Here is a 25,975-nt window from a genome sequence, read left to right on the forward strand (position 1 = left end):
ATTTCTACACCCATGTTGATTGTAGCATTATTCACAATAGCTGAAAGGTGGAAGTAACTGAAGTGTCCATCAACAGATGAATGAACAAAATGTAATATGTATTATACACATAGTGGAATGTGATTCAACCTTTAAAAGGAATGAGAGTCTGACACACTACAACACGGAGGAACCTTGAAGACGTCATGCTAAGTGAAATGAGCCAGTCACGCAAGGACAAAGACTGTATGATTCTACTAAGATGAGGCACTTAGAGTGGTCAAATTCAAGAGACAGAAAATAGAACGGTGATTGCTAAGGGCTTGGGGGAGTAGAGAACAGGAAGTTCTGTTTCATGGGTATGGAGTTTCAGTTTGAGAATATGAAAAATGTTTTGGACATGGGATGTGGTGATGTTTGCATGACAGTGTAAAGGTAGATAATGCCATTGCACTGTACCCCTTTTTTTTTTTTTTTTGAGACAGGGTCTCACTCTGTCACCCAGGCTGGAGTGCAATGGTTCGAACACAACTCTCTGCAGCCTCGACCTCCTGGGCTCAAGCGGTCCTCCCACCTCAGCCTCCTGAGTAGGTGGATCTACAGGGGCACGTTACCATGACCAACTAAATTTTTTTTTTTTTTATAGAGGCAGGGTCTGCTATGTTTCCCAGGCTGGTCTCGAACTCCTGGGCTCAAGTAGTCCTACCACTAGGGCTTTGTCCAAAGTGTTGGGATTATAGGTGCGAGCCAACCCACCTGGTCTGAATCTACACTTAAAAATGCTTAAAATGGTAGCTTTTGTTACATATATGTATGTGTGTGTGCGTGTATATATATATATATCTTACCACAATAAAACATTTAAAAGTCAGACGTCCTGTTTTGAAGTCTAATAAAAGATTGAAAAATGGGGAAAAATAAGGGACATAGTCTGTGTTAGAGAGGGGTTAAAACAATTTAGCCCTCGGCGGGGCACAGTGGCTCACACCTGTAATCCCAGCACTTTGGGAGGCAAAGGTGAGCGGATCACTTGACTTGTCAAGAGATCGAGACCATCCTGGCCAACATGGTGAAACCTCATCTCTACTAAAAATACAAAAATTCGCTGGGCGTGGTGGTGTGCACCTGTAGTCCCAGCTACTTGGGAGGCTGAGGCAGGAGAATAGCTTGAACCTGGGAGGCAGAGGTTGCAGTGAGCCGAGATTGCGCCACTGCACTCCAGCCTGGCGACAGAGTGAGGCTCTGTCTCAGACAAACAAACAAACAAACAAAAAACAAAAGAAACAGTTTAGCTCTAAGCTGAGGCTTTTGCTGGACACAACCAAGATTGAAAAAGATGTGTAAATGACTTTTTTTGCATTGTGACTGTTTATCTAAAGTCCTGTCGGGGTCCCACCTACAATCTTCTTGCAGGCTACTCACCAGGGTAAGTAGCCCCCATATAGGGAGACACTTTACTGAGATGGTATGTGGCCTCCTCCCTGCCTGGGGGCCTGAGAGGAGACTGGCAGGCTTCCTACTGCTCAAGCATCCAGAGTGTTTTGTAGAGGAGCAGGAGGCAGAGAAGCCTTCCTGGAGGAGCAGGAGGCAGAGAAGCCTTCCTGGAGGAGGCAGGATCCAGTGGAGCCCTGATGGGTGGAGAGGAGCTGGAGGGCTTCCCAGGTACATGTGTGGGACCACAGCTGGGACCGAGCAGGGAGGTGGGTATTAATATGGCAAGCACAATCAGACTGGGTGGCAATGGAAGTTGGACGGGGTTAGACTGTGAAGGCAATAGGGAGCCACCACTGGTTTTTTGTTTGTTCGTTTTGTTTTTGAGGTGGAGTCTCACTCTGTTGCCCAAGCTGGAATGCAGTGGTGCGATCTCGGCTCACTGCAACCTCCACCTCCCGGGTTTAAGCGATTCTTGTGCCTCAGTCTCCCGAGTACCTAGAATTACAAGCATGTGCCACCACACCCGGCTAATTTTTGTATTTTTAGTAGAGACGGGGTTTTGCCATGTTGCCCAGGCTGGTCTCAAACTCCTAGCCTTAAGTAATCTGCCTGCCTCCACCTCCCAAAGTGCTGGGATAACAGGCCTGAGTCACCGCACCCAGCCTCACCACTGGCTTTTGAGCAGGAGAGTATCTTGGTAGTGAGCTTCAGGATCAGGAGTGCAGGGCTAAGTAACGGGCACTAACTTAGCCCCCAACTGAAGCAAGGCACAGTGAGGCTGGTACAGACCCAGGCTAGAGGGGCTATGGGGTAGGCAGGGCCTCCTCCTGAGCCCTAAGAATAGCCAGTTGGGCTCACATTCAGCATGAGGAAGGAGGAGGTTGGCATGGCAATCCTAGAGGTAGCTGGGTGACCTCGGAAAGGAAGAGCCTGGAGGTCAAGGTCTGGATCCTGATCAAAGAAAACCGAAGCGCAAAGAAGGGCCAAGGCTTGCCCAAGTCACCCAGAGGGAGTGTAGCCCAGGAGTCAGGACACAGGTGCACCGGTGTCCCTGCAAAACCTTCACCGTGCAGCTGGGGTGGGGACCTGGCTGCCCTCCAAGGAGCAGCTCCCTCCTGCTTCAGCAGAGGCCACTTGTACTACCTGCAAGCTGTATTTGGGCTGATGCGGGAAGGGCCCCAGTGAGGCAGAGAGCGGGGAGACCATGTTAGGACCTGTCTGGTTTCTCCCTTTTGCTGCCTCTCCATCTTTCCCCCAGGGCTGGAAGAGCACATTCCTGAGTCAGTTTTCCCAGGAGTCTGGATGGGGCCCAGGCAAGAGAGAGCACCGTCTCCCCATTACCAACACTCTCTCTCTATCCCCCACACACACCTCCTTGCTTTCCCTTAGAGCTCTTCAGAGGGTATGGCTGATGCAGGACAGGCCTATCCAGCTGCCTGGCTCAAGGAGAAGCTGGCCAGCTTTCCAGCCTCATGTTTTCTGGGCTCTGTGGCCAGGGAGGCCCCTCTCCACCATGCTCTGCCACTTGGCAACTCTGGGCCAGGCCCAGGTCCTCTCTGGGCTTCAGGTCCCTCATCTGTGAAATATGACGGCTTCATAGAGCACTTCCAGTGACTTTGCCAGCCTTACCTTTTGTAAGCCCCACACTGCCCTGCAAGATGGTACTGTCATTATCTCCATTTTACAGAGGGGAAACAGGTTCAGAGAGCATGAGTGGCTTGCCCCAAGTCACCCACCCAGTAAGTGGTGGGCTTGGTACTTGAACCCAGGCAGTCTGACCAAGCTGCTGCCTGAGGTCTTTGCCATCATCAATATGCCATCAATTGTCAGGTCAGGCAGGGATCATTTTCCCTTTTCTATAGATGGGAAAACTGAGGCCCAGAGGGGCAACATGTCTTGCCCAAAGGTGCAGAGCTCAGGTGGGTCTTGCGCACTGCATAAGGCCACGTTGCCATGTCCTTGAGCACCTCCACAGAGGAGCAGCCACCCCAGGAAGTAGCTGCAGACTCTACGGGGTGATACCCTCAAAGGGTGACCAGGGCATGACCGACAGCTCGAAGGAAGCAAAGAGGCTGCTGCTGGTGAAAGAAGAAGTGAAGTGAGAGTGTGGTGCCTGGGCCTGGGGTGAAGGGAGCAGAGAGAAGTGCAGTGGGGGTGCAGGTGTGGGGCAAAGGGAGAGGCCACCCACAGACGCCTCCCGACTTCCCCTTCTTCCTGCAGAAGCTACAAGACAGCAGCCGAGACAGCAGCTGAGACGGCAGCGGCAGCTTCTCAGGTCAGCCTCCTCCGGGCCTCTCCCCACTCTCCTCTGCCCAGTTCTCTGTCCTTATCCACAGGCCCCTCAGTGGGCACTGGCCATACCCATGTCCAGGTGGGCACAGACCTGGTGATATCCTGGTGAGCAAGCTGGGGACCCACCCTCCTTCCCTTTCTGGTTGGCAGCTCCACATCTGGGGCAATGTAGAGATCTGTGCTTTTGGAAGGAGGGGCAATTTAAATTAAGAAGTGGTTAGGCATGGGTCTCGAATCTTAGCTTCCCCGCGAGGTCTGGGACAAGTGAAGAGAGGTTTCTTTTCTGGACCTCAGTTTCTCATCTGTAAAATGGGGTGAGTCTGGGAACCTGCACCTTGGATGGCTGTCAGGGGCTCAGTAGAGGACCTGGCACACAGTTTGTGCTTGGCAATCTGGAGCAGGTGCAGCTCCTTTCAGAGTGACCTGGATTGGATCCTGGGGACAGCATGTCTCAGGTAAATGGACCTGCTGCTGGCTTGGTCACAGACTTCCTGTTGGGCTCCAGGGTGGCCTCTCTTTCCCAACCTGGGAAATAGGGTTACTATAGCATTTCTTAGGGCTTTTTTTTTTTTTTTTTTTTTTGAGACGGAGTCTTGCTTTGTTGCCCAGGCTGGAGTGCAGTGGTGCGATCTCGGCTCACTGCAACCTCCACCTCCCAGGTTCAAGCGATTCTCCTGCCTTAGCCTCCTGAGTAGCTGGGATTACAGGCACCAGCCAGCATGCCTGGCTAATTTTCGTAATTTTAGTAGAGGCGGGATTTCGCCACTTTGGTCAGGCTGGTCTCGGACTCCTGATCTCAGGTGATCCACCTGCCTTGGCCTCCCAAAGTGCTGGGATTACAGGCGTGAGCCACCGTTCCTGGCCTGTTAGTGCTTTTTTGCAGAGACCACAGGTTGATTGATTCCTCACCCAGGCCAGGGGCAGGGGCTCCAGACTGTGGTTGGCAGGGGCAGGTGGGGCTGTGTGCGGAGAATGGCTGGCTCAGTAGGCCTTCGTGCTGCTGGGGAGAGGTGGGCTTCGGGGGTGCATGGTCAGCTGTAGGGAGGAAGGCAGGGGTTCCCAAGCCTTGTGCTCAGATGTATTCCTGGCCAAGGACTTTGATCAGAGCCCTGGACCTTTCTCAGGGCCTGATTCCCAGGAGAGGATCAGGGAAATTGTTGTTTGAATTTCTCTTTCTGGGAAATAGATTTCCTTGGCCTCATTTTACAGATGAGAAAACCTGAGACACAGAGAGGTCAGGTGCCTGCCCAGTGTCACACAGCCTAGGCACTGAATACTGCAACTGGTTATCAAATTCTCATCTTCCAAAGGCTCTGTCCTGTGCTCCACAGCTCCTCATTTCTCTATTGGCCTAAATAGAGTCTTACTTGTCTGCAAAGCAACTCAGCTGCCCAACCATCTTTGGGAGGCTGCAGTGTGCAGGGGGTAGTGCCCTGGACCGTGGAGGCCTGGGTTTGAGTCCCAGCTTGCCCACTGGCCTGCTGTAGAACCTCAAGCAGACTCCTCTTACGCAGTATTCGGTTTCCCCACCATCAACTGGAACCATCCTGGAAGTCAGATAAGGGATTGCTGTTTCCTAGAAGGCCACAAATAATGAATTGCAGGGTGGAGAATGAAATGGCTCAGCGTGTGGGGGGATGGTGCATGGTGACCTCTCTGAAGGGATGTGGAGGGGAATTTGGAGGTTGCAAGCAGAAGTGAAGACTGTGGTTTGCTCCTGGGAAAGGGGGTGGAAACCACAGCTTCTATCTGGAGTGCCTGGGGGAGGTATCACTTCTGCTTTGGCCTCAATTTCTTCAGTTGTGTGGTAGGGTCAGGCTTTTCTTCCCTCAGTGCCTGCCTGGAACCAGTGGGGGTAAGAGCCTGGTCTTACACCTTGCAGGTCAAATCCATCTATCTCTCTGGGCCTCAGTTTCACCAACAGTATAGTGAAGGGGTGGACAAATTGGCCCAAGATCCTTTCTGTGCTGTCAGGTCCTCCACTACTGGGCCTGAGTTATCTCTCCTGAATGAGTTCCTTCAGTAGCTTCTTTTGCCTCCCCAAACCTTTCTGTTTTTTTGTTTGTTTGTTTGTTTTGTTTTGCTTTGGAGACAAAGTCTCACTCTGTCACCCAGGCCGGAGTGCAGTGTCACAATCACGGCTCCCAGGCTCAAGTAATCCTCTCATCTCAGCCTCCTGAGTAGCTGGGACCACAGGCTCATGCCACCATGCTGGGTTAGGTTTTTTAATGTTTAATTTTGTAGAGATGGGGTCTCCCTATGTTACTCTGGCTGGTCTCAAACTCCTGGGCTCAAGTGATCCTCCTGCTTCAGCCTCCCAAAGTGCTGGGATTAAGGCATGAGCCACCACACCCGGCTCCCCCAAATCTTGTCCCTTGTCTTTTCTCTGAGGTTCTGAGAGGGTAAGTAAATAGCACAGCCAAATAAATAACCAAATAACCAAATAAATAAGAACCCAGTCCTCTGTGACTCCATAGTCTCTATTTCGTATTAAAAATAAACATATATATTTAAAAAATTCATGTTAAGAAAAATGGGTGACCACCTGGAGAAAAAATGAAATTGGATTTATATCTCCCAGTGCATCCCAGTATCAATGCAAATGGACTGGAGATTTCAATTTGAAAAATGAATCTATAAAAGTACTGGAAGAAACAGGCAAATTCCTTCATGACACTGGAGTGGAGACTGGGCTTGGTGGCTTCCTCCTATGATCCCAGCCCTTTGGGAGGCTGAGGTGGGAGGATCGCTTGAGCCCAGGTGTTGGAGACCAGCCTGGGCAACATGCTGAAACCACGTCTCTACAATAGCTGGGCTTGGATGTGCCAGTTGATACAAAAGTGCCCCAGTTGATACAATAAGTTGCATACTCTACAAACTATTCTGCATTTTGCTTTTTCACTTGAAAATACGTCTTGGAGAGCTTTCCATGTCAATAAGAGCAGAGCTTCCACTTTTTCATCTGCATATTCTAATGTTGTAGGAATAAGTTACAGTTTATTTAATTAGTCCCGTGTTCATAGATATTTGTGCTGGTTCTAGTTATTTGCTCTTACAAACAATGTAGCTGTGCTTATATTATTTCTCACATGTGCAAGTTCACCATTTATTTATTTTTATTTTTTGAGACAGAGTCTTGCTCTGTCACCCAGGCTGGAGTGCAGTGATGTGATCTCTGCTAACTGCAACCTCTGCCTCCCGGGTTCAAACGATTCTCCTGGCTCAGCCTCCCGAGTAGCTGGGATTACAGGCACGCTCCACTGCGCCTGACTAATTTTTGTATTTTTAGTAGAGACAGAGTTTCACCTTGTTGGCCAGGCTGGTCTTGAACTCCTGACCTCAGGTGAGCCTCCTGCCTCGGCCTCCCAAAGTGCTGGGATTACAGGTGTGAGCCACCGTGTCTGGCTCTATTTATTTATTTTTGATACAGGGTCTCATTCTGTCACACAAGCTGGAGTGCAGTGCCACCATCATAGCTCACTGCAGCCTCAAACTCCTGGGCTCACGTGATCCTCTCACCTCAGCATCCCAAGCAGCTGAAACTACTGGGTGCATGGCACCATGCTCAGCTAATGTTTCTGATTTTTAGTAGAGACAAGATCTTGCTATGTTGCTTAGGCTGGTCTCGAATTCCTGAGCTCAAATGATCCTCCTGCCTCAGCCTACCAAAGCGCTGAGATTACAGGTATGAGCTACCACGCCCCGCCATTTGCCCATTTTTATATTGGGTTAGACTTTTCCTTATCAATTTCTAGAAACTTTTACATAATGGGAAAATCAGCTCTTGTCTATTGTACATATATAAAACTATTACATGCAAATATTTTTCCTAATTTGTCACTTGTCTTTTAACATTACATATGGCCTTCTTTTGGCCAGGTAGAAGTGTCTTTTTAAATAATTTTTATGTAATAAAATGTATCTGTATTTTCTCTTTTGGCTTCTGGATTTTGAGTCATAGCTAGAAAAACCTTCCCCACTCCAGTGTTTTCTTATTTGGTTTCTGTTTTTTGTTTTTGAGACAGGGTTTTGATCTGTCACCCAGGCTGGAGTGCAGTGGCACAATCATAGCTCACTGCAGCCTCAACCTCCCGGGCTCAAGTGATCCTCCCACCTCAGCCTCCCAAGTAGCTGGGACTACAGGTGTGCGCCACCATGCCCAGCTAATATTTTGTAGAGATGGGGGTCTTGCTGTGTTGCCCAGGGTGGTCTCCATCTCCTGGGCTCAAGTGATCCTCCTGCCTTGGCCTCCCAAAGTGCTGGGATTACAGGTGTGAGCCACTGCACCTGGCCTGTCCAGATTTTGCATGTAATAAAATATATGGATTTTTTTTCAAGAATGGGATTAGGTTGTTTTGCAATGTGCTTTCTGTCTTTCATGAGCAATATGCCACTATTATTTCTTCCATATTGATAGTCATTTGGAGCATTTAAAAATCCTATTAAAATATTTGTGTTTTTTTTGTTGTTGTCATGAAGGTAATATGTTTGTTGTAGAAAATTTAAACAATACAGAAAATATAAAAGGAAGTTTTGAAAACACCTCTCCCCTCAAAAAAGCATTATTAACATTTTGGTGGCCACCCTTCTAGAGCTCCCAATATGCTTCAGCATGCATACAAACATAATTTTTCATAAATGAGATTATGTGTGTTATTTTCAACCTGTCCTTTCCACTCAGTGATATGCTGTGCTCTTCTTTTACATGGCTTTGTTTTTTGTTTGTTTTTGGTTTTGTTTTTTTTGAGACGGAGTCTCGCTCTGTGGCCAGGCTGGAGTGCAGTGGCGCGATCTCGGCTCACTGCAACCTCCGCCTACTGGGTTCAAGCGATTCTCCTGCCTCAGCCTCCTGAGTAGCTGGGATTACAGGCGCCTGCCACCAAACCCAGCTAATTTTTTTGTATTTTTAGTAGAGACGCGGTTTCATCATGTTGACCAGGATGGTCTCAATCTCCTGACCTTGTGATCCGCGCCTGCCTCGGCCTCCCAGAGTGCTGGGATTACAGGCGTGAGCCACTGCGCCCAGCCTGTTTTTTGTTTTTTGTTTTTGGAGAAGAGTCTCACTCTGTCATCCTGGCTGGAGTGCAGAGGTGCCATCATAGCTCACTGAAGCATTGAACTCCTGGACTCAAGCAGTCCTCTTGCCTCAGCCTCCTGAGTAGCTAGGATTACACGTGTGCCAACACGCCTGGCTAATTTTTATATTTTTAGTAGAGATGGGGTTTTTCCATGTTGCCCAGGCTGGTCTTGAACTCCTGACCTCAAGTGATTTGCCCACCTAGGCCTCCCAGCGTGCTGGGATTACAGGTATGAGCCACCACGCCTGGCCTCAAAATATTTTTTAGAGAAAGGGTCTCACTATGTTGCCTAGGCTGGTCTTGAACTCCTGGCCTCAAGCGATTCTCCTGCCTTAGTTTAGGATTACAGGTGCAAACCATGGTGCCTGGCTATACACATCTTTTTTTTTTTTTTTTTAAAGAATACACATAATTCTTAATAGTGAAATGACAATCTGTTGCATATTTTAACTTTTAATTTTGAGAAAATTATAAATGCACAGAAGGTTGCAAAAAATAGTACAGAACGTTTTGTATACCCTTCACTTATTCTCCAGTAGTAACATCTTGCATGCCTATAGTATAATATCAAAGCCAGGAAATTGTCTTTGGTATAGTTCACAGACTTCATTCTGTATTATACTCACTCATTTATGTATGCCGGTTCTTTGGTAAGTATATTTTAACTTTATAAGAAACTGCCAAATGGTTTTCCTTGCAATTTTATGACATGATAAAATAAAAGATTCCTGTAAACAACACCACGATCAAGACACAGAACTGTTCCATCGCCACAAGGATCCCTTGTGCGAGACCTTTAAAGAAACACACTCCCCCTCCCTAACCCTTTGCAACCACTAATCTGTTCTCCATCTTTATCATTTTGTCATTTCAAGACTGTTAAATAAATTGAATCACACAGCATGCAACATTTTGAGATTGGCTTTTTTTTTTTTTTTTTTGGCTCATGATAATTCCTTTAAGATCCATCCAAGTTGTGTGTGTCAGTAGCTTTTTTTTAGAAATTCATTTTTTTAACTGCTGAGAATTGTATTTCAGAGTGTAAAGGTATCACCATTTAACCATTTTCACCCACTTTGAGGCTATCATGAATAAAGCTGCTATGACTCTTCATATACAGGTTTTTGTGTGAACACGAGGTTTCATTTCTCTGGGATAAAAGCCCAAGAGTGCAATTATTGGGTCATATGATAGGTACATGTTTAGTTTTATAAGAAACTGTCGAACTGTTTTCCAGAATGGCATTGGAGTGTAATTTATTTATTCCTCTATTGATAGACATTCACATAGCTTTCAACTTTTCTTTATTAACAATACTATTCTAAATATTCTTGTATGTGTATAATCCTGGCTTGCCCTATTCTTTCCATAGGATAAATTCATAAGAATGAGTTTCCTGGCTTAAAGGATATTCAGAACGTAAAGTTCGAATGTGTTGCTAAGCCGTCCCCTTGCAGATGAGGCTCAGATCTTAGACAGAGAGTGCAGGAATGTGCCTGTCCCTACAGACTCACTGGGTGCTATCATATTTCAGATCTTTGCAGATCCAATGGTGGAAAAATGAGAACTCATGTTCTTAACTACTTTCCTCTGCCACTACCATCAAACACATATTTTGAGTTTTGTGGCTCTCCCTCTTGAAGCCTTGCAAGTTTTTGTTGACTTCCTTTCTCTAAGAGGAGGATCATCAGTTCTCTTGCCCTCCCTCCCCTATTTCCTCTTCTTCATCCTCTTAATATGTTTTTTGATTGGATTTCTAAAGTCTTGTCTATAGAGGTATACATACAATAAAATTCACCCTTTTGGAGAGGAGTTTTTGCATTTTGACAGATGTGTACAGTCATGTATACATGTATATTACAATCAAAATATAGAACATTGCTGTCCCCTGAAAAGTTGTCTCAGGCCCTTTTGTAGTTAATATCTTTTCCCTACTCCCTGGCAACTACTGATTTGTTCTCTGATCCAATAGTTTTGACTTTTCTAGATTCCACTTCCATGTTACATTCCCTCCAGAAATGAATGAGGCTTCCAGCTGTTCTATATCCTCATAATACTTTGTATTACCATTTTAATCCTAGTCATTCTAGAAGGTGTGTAGTGATATCTGATTGTGGTTTTTATATGCATTTCTCTAATGACTAATGATATTGAGTGTTTCTCATGTGCTTATTTGCATCTATACATTTTTTTTTTTAACATGTAGTTCCAGCTCTGTCACCCAGGCTGAAATGCAGTGGCATGATCTCAGCTCACTGCAGCCTCCTCCTCCTGGGTTGAAGCAATTCTCCTGCCTTAGACTCTTGAGCAGCTAGGATTACAGGCACATGCTACCACACCTGGCTAATTGTTGTATTTTTAGTAGAGACAGGGGTTTCACCATGTTGGCCAGGCTGGTTTCAAACTCCTGACCTTGGGTGACCCACCCGCCTCGGCCTCCCAAAGTGCTGGGATTACAGGCATGAGCCACCGCGCCCGGCCCATCTATATACATCTTCATTGGTATAGTGATTGTTCAAATCTTTTCCTATATTTATTGGGTTGTTTGTCCTCTTATTAGTTGTGTAAGAGTTCTTTATGTAGTCCAGATACAATTTTTTAAAAACATCAGATATGTGTTTGTAAATATTTTCTCCCAGTCTGTGGCTTATCTTCTCGTTTTGCTAACCATGACTTTCAAAAAGCAGAAGTTTTAATTTTGATGAAATTCAACTTATCAGTTTTTTGTTGTTGTTGTTGCCATGGATCACGTTTTTGGTGTTGTTTCTAAGAAATCTTTGCATAACCTAAGTCAGAAGGATTTTCTTTTTTGTTTTTTCCAAGGAGTTTTACAGGCATATCTTGGAGATATTGTGGGTTTGGTTTTAGACCACCACAGTAAAGCAAATATGGTAATAAAGTGAGTCACACAAATTGTTTGGTTTCCCAGTGCATATAAAAGTGATGCTTACGGCCAGGCACGGTGGCTCATGTCTGTAATCCCAGCACTTTGGGAGGCCGAGGCGGGCGGATCATGAGGTCAGGAGATCGAGACCATCCTGGCCAACATGGTGAAACCCCATCTCTACTAAAAATACAAAAATTAGCCGAGCATGGTGGTGTGTGCCTGTAATCCCATCTACTTGGGAGGCTGAGGCAGGAGAATCACTTGAACCTGTGAGGTGGAGGCGGAGGTTGCAGTGAGCTGAGATCGCACCACTGCATTCCAGCCTGGGCAACAGAGCGAGACTGTCTCACACATGAAAAAAGTTATGTTTACATTATACTGTAGTCTATTTAGTGTACAAAAGCATTATGTCTAAAAATGTACATACCTTAGTTAAAGGACACTTTATTGCTAAAAAGTACTAGCAATCTATCTGAGCCTTCAACAAATCACACGCTTTTTTGCTGGTGGAAAGTCTTGCCTTGATGCTGATCAAGGTGGTGGTGGTTGAAGGTTGGGGTGGCTGGCTGTTTCTTAAGACAGCAGTGAAGTTTGCCACATCAGTTGACTCTTCCTTTCATAAGATGTTTTTCTGTAGCATGTGATGCTGTTTGATAGTATTTTACTCACGGTAGAGCTTCATTCAAAATTGGAGTCCGTCCTCTCAAACCCTGCAGGGGCTTTATCCACTACATTTATTTAATATTCTAAATCTTTTGTTGTCATTTCCACAGTGTTCACCATATCTTCACCAGGAGTAGATTCCATTTCAAAAAACCACTCATTGTTCATCTATGAGAAGCGACTCCCCATCCATTCAAGTTTGATCATGAGACTGCAGCAATTCAGTCACATCTTCAGGATCCACTACTAATTCTAGTTCTCTTGCTATTCTAATCACATCTGTAATTACTTTCCCCACTGAAGTTTTGAACCCCTCAAAGTCGTCCATGAAGCATGGAATCAACCTCTTCCAAACTCCTGTTAATGTTGATATTTTGACTTCTTCCCATGAATCACAATCACATGTTCTTGCAGCATCTAGAAGGGTGAATCTTTTCCAGATTTTCAATTTACTTTGCCCTGATCCATCAGAGAAATCACTATCTATGACAGCTATAGCCTTATGAAATTTGTTTCCTAAATAATAAGACTTGAAGGTCGAAATGACTCCTTGATCCATGGGCTGCAGAATGGATGTTGTGTTAGCAGCACGAGAACAACATTGATCTCCTTGTGCATCTCCATCAGAGCTCTTGGGTGACTAGGTACATTGTCGATGAGCAGAAATATTTTGAAATAAATCTTTTTTTTTTTTTGAGTAGTAGGTCTTAACAGTGGGTTTAAAATATTCAGGAAACTATGCTATAAATAGATTGCTATCATCCAGGCTTTGTTATTCCATTTGTAGAGCACAGGCAGAATAGATTTAGCATAACTCTTAAGAGACCTAGGATTTTCAGGATGTTAAATGAGTATTGGCTTCCATTGAAAGTCACCAGCTGCATTACCCGCTAACAAGGGAGTTAGCCTGTCCTTTGAAGCTTTGAAACCAGGCATTGATTTCTTCTCTCTGGCTATGAAACTCTTAGATGGCATCCGCTTCCAATATGAGGCTCTTTCATCTACACTGAAATTCTGTTGTTTAATGTGGCCACCCTCATGCATGATGTTAGCTAGTTCTTGTGGATAACTTGCTTCTCCATCAGCACTTGCTGTTTCACTTTGTACTGCTATGTCATGGAGATGGCTTTTTTCCTGAAACCTCATGAACCAACCTCTGCTAGCTTCCACGTTTTTTCAGCTTCCTCACCCACCTTGGCCTTCATAGAATTGAAGAGTTAGGGCCTTGCTCTGAACTAGGCTTTGGCTTAAGGGAACGTTGGCCGGGGGCTGGTTTGATCTTCTATCCAGATCACTGAAGCTTTCTCCATATCAGCAATAAGGTTGTTTTGCTTCATGTGTTCACTGGAGTAGCACTTTAAATTTTCTTTAAGAGCTTTTCCTTTGCATTCATAACTTTGTGAACTGTTCGGTGCAGGATGCCTCGCTTTTGGCTTATCTGGGTTTTCACGTGTCTTCCTCACTGAGCTTAAAATTTCTAGCTTTTGATTTAAAATGAGAGATGTGTGACTCTTTCTTCTACTTGAACACTTAAGAGGCCATTGTAGAGTTATTCATTGTTCTGATTTCGATATTGTTGTGTCCTAGAGAATAGGGAGGCCCAAGAAGAGGGAGGGAGACAGGGGAACAGCTAGTTGGTGGAGCAGTCAAAACACATACATTTATTGGTTAAGTTTGCCATCTTATATGGGCGCAGTTTGTGGTACTCCAAAACAATTACAATAGTAACATCAAAGATCTCTGTTCACAGATCACCACAGCAGGTATAATAATAATGAAAAAGTTTGAAATATTATGAGAATTACCAAAACAGGACCCAGCCATTAAGTGAACACTTACTATTGGAAAAATGGTGCAGATAGACTTCCTTGATGCAGGGTTGCTGCAATCTTCAATTTGTAAAAAAAACCCACAAGATTTGCAAAATGCAATAAAGCCAGGTATACCTGTACAGTTTTAGTCTTGTTATTTGCATCTGTGATCCATTCTGAGTTAAATTTTGTATGTGCTTCAAGATATGGATTCAAGATGGCTTTTTTGTTGGCATGAGATATCCAATTGTTCCATCACTAATTGTTGAATCAATTATCCTTTCTCTATTGAATTATCTTTGCATCTTTGTCAAAAATTAATCGACAAAAATCAATATATGAACAAATTTTTGGACTCTCTATTCTGTTCTATTCATCTCTATATCTGTCCTTATGCCAGTAACACACTGTCTTGATTATTGTAGCTTTATAGTGAGCCTTGAAATCAGGTAGTGTGACTCCTCCAACTTCATTCTTCTTTATCAAAATTGTTTTGTCAATTCAAGATCCTTTGTTTTTACATATAAATTTTACAGTCAGCTTGTCATTTTCTAAAAAATATCCTGTAGTGATTTTAACTGGAATTGGATCTATATTCATGAGGGGTGTTGGTCTGTAGTTACCTTGTAATGTCTGTGGCTAGTTTTGGTATACAGTAATATTAGCCTCCTAAAATGAATTTGGAAGCATTTTCCCTTCTATTTTCTAAAGGAATACATTTAGGATTGTTATCATTACTTATTTTGTCTTCCATTTTTTTCTAAGAGTTTCTGTAGAATTGATATTATAACTTTTTTAAATGTTTGGAAGAATTAATCAGTGAGGCCATCTGGGCCTAGTGTTTCTTTGTGGGAAGATTTTTAAATTACAAATTCAATTCCTTTAATCAATGAAGGACTATTCCTATTTTCTATTTTTTCTTGAGTAAGCATTGGTAGTTTGTGTATTTCAAGGAATTTTTTTTCATTTCACCTAAGTTATGTAATTTATTGCCATAAATTGTTAATATTATTCTCCTATTTTTTAATATCTGCAGGTTCTGTAGTGATAGCCCCTCTTTTATTGCTGATAACTGGTCATTGTACTTTGTCCTTTTTTCCCCTTTATCATTCTGCCTAGAGACTTATCAATATTATTGAGGTTTTCAAATAACCAGCTTTTGGTTTCATTAATTTTTCTCTACTCCATTTTCTATTTTATTGATTTATAATTTTATCTTTTTTTTTTTTCTTTTTTCGAGACGGAGTCTTGCTCTGTTGCCCAGGTTGGAGTGCAGTGGCGCAATCTCAGCTCACTGCAAGCTCTGCCTCCCAGGTTCACGCCATTCTCCTGCTTCAGCCTCCCGAATAGCTGGGACTACAGGCACCTGCCACCATGCCCGGCTAACTTTTTGTATTTTTAGTAGAGATGGGGTTTCACCGTGTTAGCCAGGATGGTCTCAATCTCCTGACTTTGTGATCCGCCCACCTTGGCCTCCCAAAGTGCTGGGATTACAGGTGTGAGCCACCACGCTCGGCCATAATTTTATCTTTATTATTTTTCCTTCTGCTTATTTTATGCTTAGTTTGCTCTTCTTTTTATATTTATTAAGGTGGAAGCATAGATCACTGACTTGAAATCCTTCATCTTTCCTAATGTAAGCGTTTAATGCTATAAATTTTTCTCTAAGCACTGCTTTAGCTGCATCCCATAAATATTATGTTGTGTTTTCATTTTTATTCAGTTGAATATATTTTATAATTTCCCTTGTGATTTTGTCTCTGACTCATGGGTTACTTAATAGTGTATTATTTAATTTCCAAATATTTGGAGGATTTTTTGAGGCCTCTTTATGTTTTTTAATTCTAGTTTAAGTTCCTGGTGGTTACAGAACTTACTTTGTGTGCTTTTAATCCTTTTATATTTATTGAGATTTATTTTATGGCCCAGAATATGGTCTATTTTTGTGAATGTTTCCTGTTGTAATTGAAAAGAATATGTATTTTGCGTAATTAGGAGAGTGTTCTATAAATATAAAGAAGATAGTTAATAGTGTTGTTCATGTCTTCTGATATGGTTTGGCTGCATCCCCACCAAAATCTCATCTTGAATTGTAGTTCCCATAATCTCCATGTGTCATGGGAGGGACTGATGGGAAGTGATTGGATCATGGGGGCAGTTTCCCCCATACTGCTCTCGTGATAGTGAGTGAGTTCTCATGAGATCTGATGGTTTTATAAGCATCTGGTTTTTCCCCTGCTAGCCATTCTCTCTCCTGCCACCCTTTGAAGAGGTGCCTTCCTCCATGATTATATACCCAGTCTTGGGTATTTCTTCATAGCAGCATGAGAATGGACTGATATATCTTCTATATCAATTTTTGTCTACTTCTAGCAATTACTCAGAGACAAATATTGCATTTTGCAACTATAAGTGTTGGTTTGTCAATTTCTCCTTTTAGTGTTATCAATTTTTGCTTTATTTTTCAAAACTCTGTTATTAGGTGCACACACATTAAAGATTGTTACATTTTCTTGACGAATTAGTCTTTAGCATTATATAATCTTTATCCCTGGTAAAATTCCTTATCCTGAAGTTTACTTTTTCAGATATTAATATAGCTATTCCCTCTTACTTATTGATATGGTTTGGCTCTGGGTCCCCATGCAAATCTCATGTTGAACTGTAATTTTTCAATGTTGGAGAGGGACCTGGTGGAAGGTGTTTGGATCATGGGGACAGATTTCCCCCTTGCTGTTCTCCTGATAGTGAGTGAGTTCTCAGAAGATCTGATGGTTTAAAAGTGTGTAGCACTTCCCCCTTCTCTCTCTCTCTCCCCTGCTGCCATGTGAAGACATGCTTGCTTCCCCTTCGCCTCCCGCCATGATTGTAAGTTTCCTAAGGTCTCCCCAGCCATGCCTGTGGAACTGTGACTCAAACCTCTTTTCTTTATAAATTACTCAGTCTTTGATGGCTCTTTATAGCAGTGTGAAACTATACTAATACACTTATGATTGGTATATCTTTTTTCCATCATTTTACATGTAATTTATTGGTGTCTTTATATTTGGTACGTGTTTCTTGAAGACAGTATGTAGTTAGGTTTTGCTTTTATAATCCAGTCAGACAATTTTTGCCTTTTAATTGGAGCATTTGGACTATGCTTAATGTAATTATTTATATGATTGGGTTTATATCTACCATCTTGCTATTTGTTTTCTCTGTATTCCATCTGTTCTTTGTTTCTTTTTCTTCTTGTCCTGTCTTATTTTGGATTGAGCAGTTTTCATAATATTATTTTATCTCTAGTATTGCCTTACTAGCTGTATCTTATAATTTTCTCTTTTTTGTGATGGCATTGTAGGATTTAAATACACATATTTAACTTTCCACAATTTACCTTCGAATAACATTACAATACTTAAAATGTAGTTTAAGAACCTCACAACCAAATACTTCCATTTCCTCTCTCCTGCCTGTCGTGCTATTTTTGTGGTACACTTCTACTTCTACAGACACTGTGATCCCCACAATGCATTGTTACTGTTTTTACATTAAACAGATATTAAAACCAAGGTAATTTATTTTATATTTGACACATTTTTGCCAGTTTCAATACTCTTCATTTCTTGGTTTAAGTCCAAATTTCCAACTGGCATAATTTTTCTTCTGCCCTAAGAATTTTCTTCAATATTTATTTTAGTGCCAATCTGCTGGCAATGAATTCTCAAACTCCTTGCTCATCTGAAGAAGTTCTTATTTTGCCTTCTTCTTTTTTTTTTTTTTTTTTTGAGACAGGGTCTTGCTCTGTCACCCAGGCTGGAGTGCAATGGCATGATCATGGCTCACTGCAATCTTGACCTCCTGGACTCAAGTGATCCTCCAGCGTTAGCCTCCTGAATAGCTGGGACTACAGGTGCATGCCACCATGCCTGACTAAGTTTTGTATATTTTCTAGAGACGGGTTTTTGCCATGTTGGCCAGGCTGGTTTCGAACCCCTGGGCTCAAGCGATCTACCCACCTCAGCCTCCCAAAGTGCAGGGATTACAGGTGTGAGCCACTGCACCCGACCTTGTCTTCGTTTTTGAAAGATATTTTCACTGGGCATGGAGTTTTAGAATGACAGATTTTTATTGAAAGATATGGCTGCATTATCATCTGGTTTTGATAGTTTCTGATAAGAAGTCTCTTGTAGTTCGTATCTTTTATCTTCTGTGTACAATGGCTCTTTTCTCTGGCTGACTTCAAGATTTTATCTTCGGTTCTGCAGCAGTTTGACTAGGATGTATCTAGATGTGTTTTTCTTTGCATTTATTCCATTGGGTTTTGCAGAGCTTCTTGGATCTGTGGTTTGTTGTCTTTTATTAATTTTGGAAAAAAATTGGCCATTTTTTAATTTTCAATTTTCTTTTCTTTCTGTTTCTATTTATTCTTCTCTGTTCTCTCTCCTTTAGCTAGGATTCCAGTTACATATATACAGACCATTTGCACAGTTCTTGGGTAATCTGTTAATTTTTATTTTCACTCTTCTTACTCTTTATATTTCAATTTGGATAATTTATATTACACTATCATCAAGTTCAAGGATTGTTTACTTTGCTGTGTCCAGTTTGCTAATAAACCCATTAAAGGAATTCTTCATCACTGATATCGAGTTTTTTATTTCTAACATTTCTACTTGACTAGCCTTAATAGTTTCCATTGTTCTGCTGAAATTTCCCGTCTGTTCTTAGAGGTTTACCTTTTCCACTACACCCTTTAACATATTTATCAGAGCTATCTTGTCTCTATATGATAGTTCCAACATTTTGGCCATCTCTAAGATCTGGTTCTGTATGTCTTAAAATCTTTGACTAACTACCAGGCGTTGTGTGTAATGGAACAGTAGTAAAGTAAATGATATTTATGCCTAGAAATTGGAATATTTCTTATGTCGTGGCTGTAGTATAGGCCTCAAGTCAATATAATCTGTAGTTGATTTAGGTTTAAGTTTTATTTATTTATCTGTTTATTTAGAGATGGAGTCTCACTATGTTGCCCAGGCCAATCTTGAACTCTTGGGCTCAAATGATCCTCCTGCCTTGGCCTCCCAAAGTGCTGGGATTACAGGCATGAGCCACAGTGCCCAGCTGGATTTAGGTTTTGTTGTTGCTATAGTTACCTTCTGTATACTACAGGCTCCAAATTTCTCCAGTGGTGGACCGTCCCTACATTGTGTTCAGCATGAGGACTTGAGTCCCACAGGAATTTTCCCAGTGTCCCCACTCCGCGCTCAGCATTGCATGCATGCAACACAGAGGAAATCTCTCTTCGTGTTCTAGTCCCTTCTCCAGCAGTAGACTGCTATTACTTGTTGCTTGGTGCAAGGCTTGTGGTGGAGGCAGTGAATTCTTGATTCTCCTGCTCTAGCTTCAGCCTTAGACAGTCTTGAGCCCCAGGAGTAGGGCTTTCTAAGTGTTCCTGTTTCTCCTCCAGTTTTTGACAACCTCTGCTTCTTATTCAGTGCAGGTACTAGAGTGCAGGCAGACTTCTTCCCCTTCATCCCCATGGGAACCAATCTCTGCCTTATTGGTTGGGGGATCTTGAGTGGAAGTGAGATTCCTGTTCGTTTCCCAGTAGTAGCAGCAGCCCTCTGTTTTATATCAGTGCAAAATCCTGGACACTAATGGGTTGCCTCTTCCTTGCCAGTGTCCAGTGGCTTTTTTTTTTTTTTTGGTTTTCTTTTGAGACAGGGTCTCACTCTGTTGCCCAGGATGGAGTACAGTGGTGCTATCACGGCTCACTGCAGCCTCCAACTTCCCAGGCTCAGGTGATCCTCACACCTCAGCCTCCTGAGTAGCTGGGACTACAGGTGTACACCACCACATCTGCCTAATTTTTTTTTTTTTTTTTTTAAGAGACAGAGTTTTGCCATGTTGCCCAGGCTGGTCTCGAACCCCTAGGCTCAAGCAATTTGCCTACCTCGGCCACCCAAAGTGTTGGGATTACAGGCATGAGCCAAGGCGCCCAGCACTGATGTCTTTTGCTTAGTGTCACTGCAACATTGTGGTGGGAGGGTCTTCTACTCCTGCAGCAGCAGCAGTCAACATTTGCTTTATAGCAGGTCAGGGACCTGTGGGATGGGCATCTTAAATCAAAGCAAAGCCAGGGTGCAGGTGTTTATCTCTCGGCAGCAGCCAATTACCACCTTGCACTCATGCAGGGCCCAGAGTGCAGATGGGCTTCTCCAGGTAATCCTGCTCCACCCTCAACCCTTGGCATGTCCTGCATGGCTATGTTACCATGGGGCCTCTCTCAGGCCCTGTCCCACTCCACATCATTCTCATGAGCATCCAGTGGAGGACTGTAGGAAGAAACTGAGGGTACAGGTTACCCTTGTGTCTGGGGCTCCCAGTAAACTGCCACTCTAGCTAATGCTCAGCCATTAAGATTTCATTAAGATACTAGTCATTTTCTCCTTATCTACTTTTGCGGCAACTACCTATTCCTCTGTGCTCTGTCAAACATGAAACAGATCATGTGTTTCATCCATCAAAGATAATGTGTTCTAGTTACCTCCAGAAACCAGTTTGCTTGGTGGCCTGTGACCCCAGCTCTCCAGTAGGCTAAAAAAAAAAAAGATTTTGTATATTATTTGGCTTTCCCATTGTTATGATGGGAACAATACTCCCATCTGACTCTCTACTTTCTAGGTGGAAATCGAAATCATCTTAATATGGTTTTTACACAATTAAAAAAACTCCTGTTCAATGTTTCTATTATGACTATATGCATTACATTCCATATTAAATCATGTAGCGGCATTTCGTTTTCTTGTACAACTTGGTTTTCTTGAAATTAATTGCTTCTTTTTATTTTTGCATTTATAAACTTCGGTAAGACATCTCAAAAAACAATTTTTCTAGATGTTCAAACCTATTCGATAGTCTATCTACTCTCCTTTTCCTCTTCCTTATTTTTTTCTTGAAGACCTCCCTCCCAGGGCATTCTTTTCTCCTGCTCCCTCCGGATGGGAAATGCCCTAGTCCTGCTGTTCAGCATCAACCCGGGCCTTCCCTTCACACATTTTCTGGGGAGTAGCTTTACCTCTCCCATGGTAGGATACAGGGTTTCCTGTACCCTGTGTCTTCCTTCATGATATACTTTCTCATTTTGTTGGAGCACATCCTCCAGCAGCTTCTCAAGAAAGGATGTGTGTTTTGAAATTCTCAGTAATCCTTGGTTGACCATTCAAGAGAGGAGCACTAAAAACCTAATTGCTTGGCAGAGCTTGGTGACTGGTGAAATTTCACTGTAAGTTAGGTCTTGGCCATAACATTGAGGAACACAAAAATGGAAGTAGCTATAGGATACTATTCTTGGAATGGTTAGCTCCTCAGAGACTTTTCTCCTGCCTTGGGGCATAACCCTGGTTGCTGCAGTCTTCTGGAATCTGAGTGGGGGAGGATGTGGGGAGGGGATATTGCTTAATTCCCCCTTCTGTTCTGATTATGGTGCATCCTCTCTCCAGAGAGTAAACTTTGTGTGGAGCAGGATTGGGGATGGTAGGATGGTGAGGAAACTCCTGAATACTGGAGGTGGCAGGGGAGATCTGGGGACTGAGTTGGGCATTTTAAAGACTCACAACCAACAAACTCTGTTTTTATTTTTATTTTTTATTTTTTTGAGACAAGGTCTCATTCTGTTGCCCAGGCTGGAGTGCAGTGGTATGATTTTGACTCACTGCAGCCTCCATCTCCTGGGCAGGATCCACCTCACCCACCTGAGTAGCTGGAGACACAAGTGCAGGCCACCATACCCAGCTAATTTTTGTTTTCTTTTTGTAGAATCAGGGTTTTGCCATGTTGCCCAGGCTGGTCTGGAACTCCTGGTCTCAAGCGATCCTCCTGCCTTGGCCTCCCAAAGAGTTGGGATCACAGGCATGAGCCGCCATGCCTGGCCAACAATCGCTGTTTTTAGCCTCTTCCTTCATCCCCTCTTCAGAGGTTACTGATGCCCCCAGTTCTCAAGTGCTTCCAAGGTTGTGAGGCTTCTCCTTGTCTCCTGCCAACACCACACCTCTCCCCACTGCAGGCACTTGGGTTCAACTTTTTTTGGTCTGCTAAACGTCTTACCAGGTGCCACCTACTTGTAGCCTCCAAAATTTAGCTGACATCTCCCATCTCTGCAGTTGTTTTCTTTCCCATTGTTCTGTCTTTGTGCCTGTTTTCTAAGGAGTAGCTTTACCTCTCCCATGGTAGGGTACAGGGTTTCCTGTACCCTGTGTCTTCTTTCATGATTTACTCTCTCATTTTGTTGGAGCACATCCTCCAGCAGCTTCCTGAGAGGCTTTGTGCCTCCTTTCTTCCCCATTGTACTGTTTTTCATGCCTCTTTTCTTTCCCATTGTTCTGTGGCTTTGTGCCTATTTTATTCATTCCCTCTCATTTTAGTGGGGCTTTAAGGGGCAGACATAAATTTGCTCTATTGAAGCAGAAGTTTATTAGTTCATTTTAAAATGGAGGAAAATGAGGGCAGAGGAGAGACAGATCCTACCCAAAGCCGCACGATGAGTTAATGGCAGGGCTGGATGGGGTTTACCTGTTGCTTTCTCCCAAACACCGTCCCCCTGGGTAGAGACTGGGATCCTGGGGAAGCCCCCAGAAAGACTGCTTTTTGGGAAGGGGAGTGTATCAGGCGGAGCTGCTAATGGCAGCCATTACTTGGTGGTCAAGGATTCTGGAGTCTTAGAGACCTGGCTTTAGGCAGGTTTAAGTAAAGCAAGACCCTTTGCCCTTCATCCTCAGCTTCCTCATCTGTGAAATGCAGGAGTGGTGAGTCAAATAAGATGCTGCATGTCCTACTCTTGGGACATGCCAGACACCTAGAAGTTAGAGGTTGCTCTTTTATCATCATGGTGATGGCATGCACCTTTTTCAGGGCCGGAGCCAGTTCTTGGAGGAGACTCTGCACAGGGCATGGATCACTGTGGTGCCCTTTTCCTGTGCCTGTGCCTTCTGACTTTGCAGAATGCAACAACAGGTAAGGGGGCTCTGCTGAACTGGGGGCAGCCCTAGCCCAGTCGTGGGACTGTGATGCAAAAGGGGGAGGCGTCAAACCATGGGAGATTGAAAAGGGCCACTTAGGCTTCCTGGGGGCAGCAGGAGCTGCTTGTGAACTAGACTCTCAGGGTGGGATGGAAAGCCCAGAGGTTGTGGGGCCAGAGGGCAGTTGAGACACAAACTGAGGGGGAGGTGTGTCCCCACAGAGACATGGGAAGAACTCCTGAGCTACATGGAGAATATGCAGGTGTCCAGGGGCCGGAGCTCAGTTTTTTCCTCTCGGTGAGTTGGATGTGCCTCCCACCCCAAGCCTGCACCTTGAATCAGTGGGTCAGGGTTAGTCTAATGTAGACTCTTAACTGTGCATTTCTTCAGCACTTTTATTGAGCACCTACTGCATGCCTGACACTAGGCTCTGGGGATGCAGGATGGGCATGTCACTGCCCTCATGAAGTTTATCATCGAGGAATGGGGGCCCTTAATCATAGATGTCATGACACTAAGTGCAGAATTATGGGTCTCCATGCATTTTCCTGGGAAGGGGGTCTAAGATTCTGGCTGGGCTCTCCAGGGTCTATGACCCAAAGACTGAGCAGCTCTAGGTGAGCGGCCAATGCTGAAGACTGGTCAGGGCTAAGAGTGGCTACTGGGAAGCTGTGAGGGAGCAGTCAGGGAAGGCTTCCTGGAGGAGGTGACAATAAACTGGGACCTGAACAGGAGTTAATCAAGAGGAGGGGATAGATGGGGTAGGGAGGTAACAGTGTGCCAAGGACACTGTGTGTGCAGTGGTCTGGAGGTGCGTGTGACAGAGGTGTGGGTGGGGAGGCCCTGCCCTCCCAGGCTGTCTACAGCCCCCTCTCACCCTTACCCCACTCCGGGCTCTGGCCTCCCTGGCCATCTCTCTGGGCTGCAGTCAACTCCACCAGCTGGAGCAGATGCTACTGAACACCAGCTTCCCAGGCTACAACCTGACCTTGCAGACACCCACCATCCAGTCTCTGGCCTTCAAGCTGAGCTGTGACTTCTCTGGCCTCTCGCTGACCAGTGCCACTCTGAAGCGGGTGCCCCAGGTCAGAGGCTGCGGGTTGGGGGGTGTGGCCAGCTGCCCCGCCCTAGAAGTCCTCCAGGCATTTAAGGTCTGGACTTTCTTTAGGCTCCACTGTCTTCCTCCCCACACCCCACAGTCCAGGCTCTGCCCTAACTGGCAGTGAGTTGCCTCCTCTGTAAAATGGGGCTCATACTCGCTGTGTGAACTGTGGAAAGGGAGGTGCTTTATTGCCCCTGCAGGGCAGAATCTTCTTCCTGCTTTGGCTGGAGGCTGCCCGCTGCGGGAGGCGCTGTGGGAGAGGCCAGAAACCCTGGCTCCTTTTAGGACCCTGGGGTGATCAGCTGGATCCCTGGCAGGGGCTGGGGCTGGTGCTGGGGCTGGGTGCTGAGGTAGCTCCATCTTCAGGGGTTCAGTGGGTCAGGTAAACATCCAAAACTCAGGAACAGCATGGAGGGAAGGCCTGGGATCTTGGGAAGTTTGGGAGGAGATGCAGCCTGGGGGGAGAAGGTTCTGTGGGTGGAAACCCCAAGGAAGGTTTCACGGGGAGTGGGAGGCAGTGAAGGTGTTGGGGTCAGGTCTCCAGGTCCTGGTTGCCAAACAGCCTGTTTGCGACCCTCTGCAGGCAGGAGGTCAGCATGCCCGGGGTCAGCACGCCATGCAGTTCCCCGCCGAGCTGACCCGGGACGCCTGCAAGACCCGCCCCAGGGAGCTGCGGCTCATCTGTATCTACTTCTCCAACACCCACTTTTTCAAGGTCAGTGTGATGGCGGGCCAAGGAGGGTGGGTGCCGGCCCCTTCTTGGGATCCACTGCAGGTGCCCATGTCACTGCCTGGCCTCTGGGTGACCAGCACTGAGTGAGACCAACCAGCCATCTGTGCAATCCAAGCCAGCAATTGTCCCTCTCTGGGCCTCAGTTTCCCTGCCAACTTTAGCAGAATGGTAGGAAGGTATAATTACAATCTGCAAATAAGACCTAAGAAACCTACGATGTGCCTGTCGGTAGGCGGGAGACAGACAAGAAGGCACTTATTATTCCCTGCCCTCAGATAACTCTCTGTCTTGATGCCTAGACTAAGACCTTACAGATTTTTTTTTTTTTTTTTGGCAGAGTCTCGCTCTGTTGCCCAGGCTGGAGTGCAGTGGCATGATCTCGGCTCACTGCAACCTCTGCCTCCTGGGTTCAAGCAATTCCCCTGCCTCAGCCTCCTGGGATTACAGGCGTGTGCCATCATGCCCAGCTAATTTTCGTATTTTTAGTAGAGACCGGGTTTAACCACGTTGGCCAGGCTGATCTTGAACTCCTGGCCTCAAGTGATCCGCCTGCCTTGGCCTCCCAAAATGCTAGGATTATAGGCGTGAGCCACTGAGCCTGGCCTGATCTTAGAGATTTAATGTCAGCAGAAGGTTGATTATAGCCATAGAGATCCAGAGTGATGGATGAGTCAGGGTGGGGTTGGGGCTCTTCCCAGTGGGCAGTCCAGGGGAGTTTCTGGGGAAGGTGCCTTTCAACCTTGGCTTTGAAAGTGAGTGAGGATAGTGGTGAGGTGGAGGGCGTGAGGCTGGAATGCATTAAACGAATGGGAGGTGGAGCAGGGGGTGGTGAGAGGACAGCTTTCCACAGGGCAGAAACAGCACATGCAAAGGCTGGGAGGCTGGGAAGGCTGGGAGGCTGGGAGGCTGAGAAAGCTTTCACGCTGCACACGTGAAAGTCTTGCTGCTTGTTCTCATCCAGGGAAGCGGAGCTCAGACCTTACCCAGGGCC

The 25,975-nt window shown here is 44.9% G+C and overlaps 1 protein-coding gene across 8 annotated transcripts in view, besides 7 other annotated features; it reads left to right on the forward strand.

The window, feature by feature from the left end:
* ADGRG5 (adhesion G protein-coupled receptor G5) overlaps positions 1-25,975 on the forward strand; it is a 48,117-nt gene that overhangs the window by 9,941 nt on the left and 12,201 nt on the right. For 2 of the 8 annotated variants that reach the window (NM_001304376.3, NM_001318481.2), the window contains exons 1-5: positions 3,630-3,688; positions 23,043-23,144; positions 23,371-23,446; positions 24,078-24,234; positions 24,835-24,966. In NM_001304376.3, coding sequence (NP_001291305.1) covers positions 23,081-23,144; positions 23,371-23,446; positions 24,078-24,234; positions 24,835-24,966 — 429 coding nt within the window. In that variant the 5' untranslated portion in view covers positions 3,630-3,688; positions 23,043-23,080. Of the gene's footprint in view, positions 1-3,629; positions 4,161-23,042; positions 23,145-23,370; positions 23,447-24,077; positions 24,235-24,834; positions 24,967-25,975 lie in introns of those variants that run through there. The other 6 variants (XM_011522949.3, XM_047433778.1, NM_153837.4 and 3 more) reach the window with 5 other exon arrangements.
* Positions 67-156: an enhancer, noted in NCBI's record as "active region_10898". NCBI's record gives its function as "activates an Ori minimal core promoter by ATAC-STARR-seq in GM12878 lymphoblastoid cells {active_cell/tissue: GM12878}" and the evidence as "EXISTENCE:reporter gene assay evidence [ECO:0000049][PMID:35858748]".
* Positions 407-456: an enhancer, noted in NCBI's record as "active region_10899". NCBI's record gives its function as "activates an Ori minimal core promoter by ATAC-STARR-seq in GM12878 lymphoblastoid cells {active_cell/tissue: GM12878}" and the evidence as "EXISTENCE:reporter gene assay evidence [ECO:0000049][PMID:35858748]".
* Positions 477-536: an enhancer, noted in NCBI's record as "active region_10900". NCBI's record gives its function as "activates an Ori minimal core promoter by ATAC-STARR-seq in GM12878 lymphoblastoid cells {active_cell/tissue: GM12878}" and the evidence as "EXISTENCE:reporter gene assay evidence [ECO:0000049][PMID:35858748]".
* Positions 3,410-3,579: an enhancer, noted in NCBI's record as "experimental_43712 CRE fragment used in MPRA reporter constructs". NCBI's record gives its function as "activates a minimal promoter by MPRAs in K562 erythroleukemia cells, with activity observed for both the introgressed and non-introgressed 16:57576420 variant alleles {active_cell/tissue: K562}" and the evidence as "EXISTENCE:reporter gene assay evidence [ECO:0000049][PMID:34662402]".
* Positions 4,974-5,023: a silencer, noted in NCBI's record as "silent region_7532". NCBI's record gives its function as "represses an Ori minimal core promoter by ATAC-STARR-seq in GM12878 lymphoblastoid cells {active_cell/tissue: GM12878}" and the evidence as "EXISTENCE:reporter gene assay evidence [ECO:0000049][PMID:35858748]".
* Positions 5,084-5,393: an enhancer, noted in NCBI's record as "active region_10901". NCBI's record gives its function as "activates an Ori minimal core promoter by ATAC-STARR-seq in GM12878 lymphoblastoid cells {active_cell/tissue: GM12878}" and the evidence as "EXISTENCE:reporter gene assay evidence [ECO:0000049][PMID:35858748]".
* Positions 25,414-25,915: an enhancer, noted in NCBI's record as "H3K4me1 hESC enhancer chr16:57598339-57598840 (GRCh37/hg19 assembly coordinates)". NCBI's record gives its function as "activates a minimal SCP1, AML or CMV promoter by ChIP-STARR-seq in naive H9 embryonic stem cells {active_cell/tissue: H9 hESC(naive)}" and the evidence as "EXISTENCE:reporter gene assay evidence [ECO:0000049][PMID:30033119]".

This window comes from Homo sapiens, chromosome 16 (genome assembly GCF_000001405.40).
Source record: "Homo sapiens chromosome 16, GRCh38.p14 Primary Assembly".
In the NCBI taxonomy this organism is placed as follows: domain Eukaryota; kingdom Metazoa; phylum Chordata; class Mammalia; order Primates; family Hominidae; genus Homo; species Homo sapiens.